The sequence below is a fragment of the Homo sapiens genome, chromosome 10, assembly GCF_000001405.40.
Source record: "Homo sapiens chromosome 10, GRCh38.p14 Primary Assembly".
In the NCBI taxonomy this organism is placed as follows: Eukaryota; Metazoa; Chordata; class Mammalia; order Primates; family Hominidae; genus Homo; species Homo sapiens.
The window spans coordinates 126,385,017-126,393,790 of record NC_000010.11 but is presented as its reverse complement, the minus strand read 5'-3'; the positions used below and the strand labels follow the sequence as shown (position 1 = coordinate 126,393,790).

The following is an 8,774-nucleotide window of genomic DNA, read 5'->3' as shown; positions in this document are numbered from 1 at the left end:
CCTCAGCTCTACTCCACTGGTCTGCTTGAGGCTCCTCACGACATGGCAGCTGGTTGCCTCCAGAGCGAGCAACCTGAGTCAAGGAGGAAGCTGAAATGCCTTTCATGATTTGGCCTCAGAACTTACACACTGCTCACTTAGGCTGCGTTTTGTTAGAATGAGTCACTAATTCACAATTGTAAAGATATGGAACCAATCTAAATGCCCATTAACCAATGAGTGCATAAAGAAAATGTGGTATATATGCACTATGGAATACTACTCAGCCATAAAAAAGAATAAAATCATGTATTTTGCAGCAACTTGGATGGAGCTGGAGGCCATTATTCTAAGTAACTCAAGACTGGAAAACCATATGCCATATGTTCTTACTTATAAGTAGGAGCTAAGCTATGAGTGTGCAAAGGCACACAGAGTGGTATAATGGTCTATGGAGACTCAGAAGGGGAAGGATGGGAGGGGCATCAGGGATAACATATACTACTTGGGTCCCAGGTGCACTAAAATCTCAGAATTCACCACCATATAATTCATCCATGTAACCAAAAACCACTTGTACCACAAAAGTTATTGAAATAAAAAAAAAAGAGTCACTAAGCCCAGCCCACATGAAAAGGGAAGATGATTAAGCCCTCTTTTTTTTTTTTTTTTTTTTGAGACGTAGTCTCGCTCTGTTGCCCAGACTGGAGCTGGAGTGCAGTGGCACGATCTCGGCTCACTGCAAGCTCCGCCTCCCGGGTTCACACCATTCTCCTACCTCAACCTCCCGAGTAGCTGGGACTACAGACGCCCGCCACCACCCCCGGCTAATTTTTTGTATTTTTAGTAGAGACGGGGTTTCACCGTGTTGGCCAGGATGGTCTCGATCTCCTAACCTCGCGATCCGCCCACCTCGACCTCCCAAAGTGCTGGGATTACAGGCGTGAGCCACCGCACCCGGCCAGCCCTATTTCTTAAATGAAGTATCCTCAAATGTTTGGTCATTCTTGTCATAGTTCATGTTTGTTTTTGAGATTCCCCTTTTCCTTTCGCTGTGTGCTGGCTTTGCACTCAGCCTGCCCCCGCTGATGGCGGGAGAGATAAGCACCTGGTCTAGGAGGCTGTCTCAGCAGCTGCTGCTGCTCCAGGAGGTGTCTGTTTCTCTTAGTACTGTCAGTCACTTGGGGTACGTAAAATGGAATCTGGGGGTGTGTAGGGAGGGGCATAATAAGTTTCCCATCACAGTACAGTCATGAGTCACCAAATGACATTTTGGTCAATCACGTGGTACGCACTTGAGCACTTGTAAGGATGCTCCCATAAAATTATAATGGAGCTTCTCTATCCGGGTGTACCATTTTTTAAAATCTTTTCCACTGTATTTTTACTGTACCTTTCTGCCTTTTTGCTGTACCATTCCCTACAGTATTCAGTGGAGTCATGTGCCATACAGGTTCGTAGCCTAGGAGCAACAGGTTATACCATAAAACCTAGATGTGTAGTAGGCGGTACCACCTAGATGTGTGAGTACACTCTGTGATGTTCACACAGCGACAAAACTGCCTAATGATGCATTTCTTAGAATGTATCTTTGTTAAGTGAAGTATGACTGTCACTTGGTTGGAGAAGTTGACTGGTCAGTGGGTAGGTGACATAGATGAATATAGATGGGGTGACCTTTCCTGTCTCTTGTGACACAGCGCATCCCCGAGTTCCTTGTCCCCAGCCCCAGGAGCATTCTTTCTTTGGCGTTTAGTGCTACTTAAGTGCTAATTCTGTGCAATAATGAAAGCATCAGAGACAAGAGGGTTTAATCTGCCCAGAAGAGGTTCACTGGGGGCAGGTTTCTGAGGAGGTGAAGGCATGGATTCTTGAAGTGAGAGATCTAGGAAAAGAAAAATGGACTACATGTTATTATAATACGCCGAGAGGAGCAGGAGTTTTCATCTCTCCAAGAGATAGAATAAAAATGATTTCCAAGAATCTTAATCTTGGGGTGATCACATTTGTTTACGTTTGGAGTAAGCCTTGGGAACTGTGCTTGGAGAGAGGAAAGCTGTTCTGCAAGCCTGTGTCTGAAGTTCTGTCAATAGGTCACTCTGCAAGGAGGCCGGCTCTTCACTTACTGCAGAAATTAGCAGTGGCTGCCTGTAAATTCCTGGCTTAGGAAAGTTTGTCTCCGTTTTTCATCTGCTTGTACTCAGAGCAGATTGAGCTTACATGAGCTTGGGTAAGAAATAAGTGCCCTGTTCGTTGTGAATGCCCAGGCTGTTAAACGAAAATAGCACACAGGAAACAGTATTGCAAAGGTCAATTCTTCCAGAAAGGAAGGGACAACCAGCCATCTATCTGAAATTTTCGTGTGTAGATCCTGGCCTCTGACCCCACACCATTACCTAACAATCCAGTATTGAATGTGATGTCGGCTTCCATTTCCTGTGAATGAGGAGGCAGAATTTCCATCCAAAGACAGACCATCTGCCAGACGCAGGATTTGCTCTTTGCCTTAGCTGGCTGTTATTGATGTCTATGAAGGCTTTGTGGAGACAGTGTCAGCCCAGGCCGCTTGCTTCACAGAGATGGTGAATTACAGGGTTGAAATCCAGAGCTTGCAGCCAGGATTTTATTTTTCTTCATTTTTCCTCTGCAATGGCTGTTTTCTTTCGTTCAGTCAGAAACAAATCAAGGACAGTCTTGGGGCACATTTAGTTCTTTGGAGGAAGCTTTGCAACATCCAGGTTTAAAAGAAATTGGACTTTTACAGTCAACATTAACAATTGAATATGAAAGAGCGAAAATAAATTGATCATTAAGAGAAAATGTATACAAGGCCCCCAGCCCAGTGCACAGCACATGTTAGGTCCATTGTGAATAAACCATTTAACCAGTCAGAAGGATCCGAGAGGCCAGTGGCTGGGCTCATCTGCAAGCAAATCTGGCCCTTTGAGCTGGAAGAAAACAATTTTTAATTCTCTTGCGTCGATGTGTCTGAAGTTCTATGGGCCACAAGTATCAGGATCACCTAAGTACTTGCTAAAACTTGTCCTTCCCAGACCTTTCTAATGAGAATCTCCAGTGCAAACGCCAGAGGAATTGAATTCTTAACAGACATCCCAGGGATCAGGTGGGTTGGGAGACATTGCATTATTTCACCTGGTGCTCACAACCACCTGGGAGGTTTGTATTTTACCTTCACTTAACAGCTGCTAAAACTGAAGGTTGGAACTCAGCCTTAAAGAAACAGGCTTTATCTTTAACAGATCTGAGGTTGGGCTCTGACCTACTTCACTGTGTGGTGGTGGGAAAGCTACATCTCTATGCTGCAGTTTCCTCATCTGTATATTCAGGACTTAAAAAATGAAATAATGCAGGTGAAAGACGTTAGCACAATACTCCGATTATACGAGGTATGTAATGAATTATGAAGTAGTAAATAGTCTGTTTTCGTGCTGCTGATAAAGACATACACAAGACTGGGTAAAATTATACAGGAAAAACGTTTAATGGACCTACATTTCCACATGGCTAGGGCAGAAGACATGAAGGGGCAAGTCATGTCTTACATGGATGGTAGCAGGCAGAAAGTGAGAGAGAGCTTGTGGAGGGGAACTCCTCTTTTTAAAACCATCAGATCTTTTGAGACTTATCCACTACCATGAGAACAGCACAGGAAAGACCTGCCCCCATGATTCAATTACCTCCCACCAGGTCCCTCCCACAACACATGGGAATTCAAGATGAGATTTGGGTGGGGACACAGCCAAACCATATCAGTAAACAAGCCTAATCATTATTAACTAGGTTAAGTAACTAGCTCACACTGTCCAATAATGATGATTTATCAGTTTGATCAGAAAGAAAAGTCTTTGAAGGCAAGAGGCTTTCTCGTTTAGTTTCCCAAGTTCTAACATAGGGTTGCTCATGTAGATTGACTGAATGAATGAACAAAAGAAGTACACTGCAACGCTGGTTGGTAGTACGGTTAGATATGACACAGGGCTTGAACCAGGCCTGGTTTCCAGATCTGGTACTGAGATATGGCAGCATTGGGAAGGGGGCTGGAGAGCCTGTGCTTCCCACTAAGGTTTTTTAAAAAGAAAGTCCTGCACCTTGTTAGGAGGATCGACCTGGGTTTTGGGAACACTGCAAAACCTGCCGTGGGAGGGAACTCCTGAGAAAACTCCTCTGCAGTGGGAAGAGATGGTATGGAAGGCAGCTTCCTCAAATGCTGGATAACCGCCTCCTAGGAGTGGGTGCTCCGTCAGGAATCGGTGCGAGGTCGCAGGACCAGGATGGAATTTCTGCAGGTGGTCCTAGGTCTGAGCAGCACAGTAGAATCACCTGAGGCTTTGAAAACTATTGAGCTCCACGCATTGTGGGAAACTGAGTTAACTGGTGTCTGGGGCTGGCAATGTCTTTAACTCTTACTATTCTAATAAGTCCCCAAGGTTGGGAATCATGGTAACCCGCAGGGTGGGCATCAGCCATCCTCCATAGCTCCAGCCATTTCTGTCTGTGCGGGCCCCCTCGCTGCTGCTTTTCATGGTCTCCCTGAGGGCCGAGCGAGGCTGAAGAGGTGGGGTCAGCCCGGAACAAGGATGAGAAGGCAAGGCGCACCATTCTTTCATTGGTGTTTCTCCAAACACCCTGGGCTCCCCTGGCCTCACAGCCTGGAGAGTCTCATTCTGAAAGCGTAGGAGGGCGCCCGGGAATCTTTTTAACAAGCCAACCCAGGTGCTTCTTACAATCAGGAAAGTTTGGGGAACGTCACTGTACACCCTTTTCTGGGTCCAGGTCATGGAATGGAAACGTGAGCCAATCTATCAACGTAAAACCTAACACTGTTGATCAAAAGTAACGCCCAGGTGTCTTGTGCCTGCGAGTCCAAGCTTGTTTCTCGGGCGAGAGATGCCCCTTTGGGCGCTTAGGGCCGGGCGGGGTCGCGCGCCGGGCTGTGGGCCGCGGTGGAGACCTGACCCGCACTCCGAGGGTTCCCAGAGAGCCGGGGAGCGAGTAGCAGAGTCATCGTTTCCAGCTTCAGCCTGAAAAGCTGGACCGTGCCGCCGCATGTGCGCTTGGCAGCCGGGCGCCCCGGGCCCTGCGGCCACATCATCCTGGGGCGGGGACGTGTGCGCTCCGGGCGCCCGGACGCCACTGAGCCACGTCTGAGCCGCCCACCCTCGGGGGTGAGCGAGCCGCGGCTCGGGGCGGGACCCTGGCGGGGGGACCCGAGCGGTCTCTAGGACCCGCGGGACGCCGCCAACTGGCGGGGGTGCGGGGGAGACAATAATTTGTTCCGCGGTAATAAGAACGGTGACTGCTGGCCGTGGATCCATTTCACAGGCCTGCCTTCTCTCACTAACGCTCTTCCTAGTCCCCGGGCCAACTCGGACAGTTTGCTCATTTATTGCAACGGTCAAGGCTGGCTTGTGCCAGAACGGCGCGCGCGCGCGCACGCACGCACACACACGGGGGGAAACTTTTTTAAAAATGAAAGGCTAGAAGAGCTCAGCGGCGGCGCGGGCGCTGCGCGAGGGCTCCGGAGCTGACTCGCCGAGGCAGGAAATCCCTCCGGTCGCGACGCCCGGCCCCGGCTCGGCGCCCGCGTGGGATGGTGCAGCGCTCGCCGCCGGGCCCGAGAGCTGCTGCACTGAAGGCCGGCGACGATGGCAGCGCGCCCGCTGCCCGTGTCCCCCGCCCGCGCCCTCCTGCTCGCCCTGGCCGGTGCTCTGCTCGCGCCCTGCGAGGCCCGAGGTAAGTCGCCGAACTAGGGCGGCTCGCTGCCCGCCCCGCCGAGGGCACCGCACGCTGCGCCTGGGCGCGCCGAGGTCCAGGGCTGCCCCGAGGGGCGACGCGCCCCGGCGCATCTCCGGAGCCCCGGGGCTTGCGCTTCCAGCGCGGCGAGACCGACCCCCCCCCCCCAGGTGCCAATTCCTTGGGGAAGGGCGACACTTGGCCCGCAGCCCCACAGGAGCCAGTACCTGCCCCGGAGGGCACAGCCTCGGGACCGCTCCCCCGTCCTCACCCTCTTGGGTGACATTTGCAGATGTCTCTGTATCTTGACATTTACACGTGTCACTCGGGACGATGCGTGTCGGGTCCTCTTGCTGGCCCTATCCCGCAGTGAATATCCCCACCCCAGGCTCCGGGCCAGCCCTTCACCAGGTTTCCTTTCCAGCCCCGCCTCCCCCGCTAACACACTTAGGGGGGCGCGCAGCGGCCCCGCAGGTGAGGCAGCCCCCTCCTCCGCAGGTGTGCCTGCTGCTCTCCACAGCAGGCTCTATTTTCATAAACTGACTCTCTTACCTACTTCTTTAGTTTCCTCTCTGCCCCTCTTCCTGGCTTCCAGGTCACTCCCTAGCTGTCAGTCGCAGGCAAACTTTAGCGGAATTCTCCCTCCTTCCTCCACTCAGTTTCTCCGCCGTAAATAATCGCCCCCATCAACTTGGTGCACAGCGAGAACTTACTTAGTTTAACGTACTTAGTTTTACAGACTTAGGTTTTCCCGAGTTGTAGCCCCTTAAAATCGGGCACCTGTGGCTCCCGTTTGCACAGTGAGGACTCACCCAGCAGGTGCCTTTTTAAAAATCCGGCAACTTCCCCGGGTCTCCGCCGCCGCCGCCTTCTTTCTGCCGCCCGGGGCGCTGTCGGTCCACCGATGAACGACTTCCCTTGGCCGCAAGCTCTCAAGTTCTGTGATTCTATATAACAGGCATTTATTTTTCAACAACTGGCCTAAATCACGAACCGTTACCACTTTATGATACGTTTTATTTTGCGATTGCCACTGCTGCCCTCCGCCCCCACCGCGTCTACTGTAATGTGGCTAAAACCCAGTTCTTGTTAAAAGCCACACTGCGAAGACCAATTCGGGGATAAATGATTAAATACAAAGATTGCACAAAGCAATGAGAAAGTCAAGAAAGAATCCTGCTGAGGGTTTAAAGAACTCTACGACCTGTAGTGAATTGTGCTTTGAAAGACTTTTAAACAAATTGGTCCTTTTGAATGTTTATTAAGAAAGAACTTTTTAAAAAACGGAAAGTGTCTCAAAGTGTGCCTGACATGGTCTTTAACTTGGCACGTGCTTTGTACACATAAAGAGAAGTCTACTGAGCAGGGACAAATTTTTTTTTTGGAAGAAAATGTTTATTAAATCCAGCTAATAATGGGAAATTATTTCTTGTGTGTGTGGGCGGGGGAGGACTTTTACTATTTTATGAGTTCAGCTTTGGTAGAGAGAGTGTTTCCTTAAGACAGATATGACCCAAAATAGAAAACCAGGGAGGCCTAAGCACTTTGAATGGGTTACCTATTGTGATATATTCCAGGATTCACTGCTTGTTTACCCTTAGATTCTCAGTATCAAGTCTTCAATCAATCAGTGCCCCAAATCATACCATTGAGGCCGTATAAAACGCCAAACATATAATGAAACATTTCTTTGCATTGGCAAGAGAAAAGGAGGAATTACTACCTGTTGAGTCTGAGCATATTCTGAGTTTCTCCCTAGCCTTGTCTGTACCCTGAGCCCTGGCACAGTTGCCTACTTGGTACTTTCTGGGGCAACTCGGCCTAACAAGTCCAAAACAGAACCCTAGATCCCAGACTCTCTAGTTGCAAATCATTCCCTCCCCAGCCTTCCTGAACCCAGTAACAACCTCCTCTGCCTTCTCCACATGCCTTGTGCTGACATGCAGGAAGTCATCCCTGTGTCCCTCTTTTTACTCCGTAAGCCACCAACCTCCTAAGTATATTCCCACCTACCCACTTCCTTACATCCCGAAGTGTGCCTTTCCCAGTCCAGGCCACATTATAGGAAAAATCTCTTCTGCAGAAGCCTCTTATCCCTCTTACCCAACGGGCCTACTGGCTTTTCACCTTATCCCTGCATGGTATATTTTCCTCCACAATAGAGCCAAAGTTATTATTTTCAAACATGAGTTAGAGCATTCAAGTTTCCTGTCTAAAACTCCCCAGTGGCTCTCTAGCACCCTTAGGAAAGAAAATCCAAACCTCAGCATGACCTAATTCCTGTTTTCCTTTCTGATCTCCTTTCTTACCATTCTCCCTTTGCTCACCCTACTCCAGACACACTGCCTTCTCTTCTTTTCAACTACCCAATATAGTAGTGCCATCATTAAAAAAAAATTCAATGTTTGCACTAAGAAGACTTTGCAAATACTTTTCACTGTTTTGCCGTGCAGTGTTTTATGGCATTTCATCCCTCTTGTAACTTTTTGCTTTTCCTAGAGTTAATGATTGCCTTGTCTTGATTTTTGTTTGCTTTATTTTCTGTGCACCAAGCTGTGATATTGTGATATAATAAGAAATATGTCTCTGCCCCTGGTTCCTGGCACAGAACTCCTAAAATCCTTGGAATCTCTGGGGTATTAAGAGTGTCTTTTGTATGCTAATGAGCTTGTTAAGGCATGATTAGAGTTGGGACTTTTAGTGCCACCTCCCTTGCAACCTCCAGGGAGGGGAGACGGATTGAAGGTTGACTTGATCGCCAATGGTGTAATTAATCATGGCTGTGTAATTAGGCCTCCATAAACCCCCCAAAGGACAAGGTTTGTAGAATTTCCAGATTGCTGAGCAAATCAAAGTTCCTGGAGGGTGGCGTATCTAGAGAGGACACAGAAGCTCTGTATCCCTTTCCACATTCTCTGCCCTTTGCATCTCTTCCAACTGTTTTTCATCTGTGTCCCTAATTACATCCTTCATTAATATAATAAACTGGTAAATATAAGCAAGTGTTTTCTGTGGTTCTGTGAGCTTACCTAGCAAATTAA

At 48.9% G+C, this 8,774-nt stretch overlaps 1 protein-coding gene across 5 annotated transcripts in view; it reads left to right on the top strand.

Annotated features, from left to right (window-relative positions):
• The window catches only part of ADAM12 (ADAM metallopeptidase domain 12), a 376,087-nt gene continuing 372,626 nt past the window's right edge, over window positions 5,314-8,774 (top strand). For all 5 annotated transcript variants that reach the window (NM_001288973.2, NM_003474.6, NM_001288975.2 and 2 more), the window contains exon 1: window positions 5,314-5,733. In NM_001288973.2, the coding sequence (NP_001275902.1) occupies window positions 5,646-5,733 (88 nt within the window). In that variant the 5' untranslated portion in view covers window positions 5,314-5,645. The remainder of the gene's footprint in view (window positions 5,734-8,774) is intronic.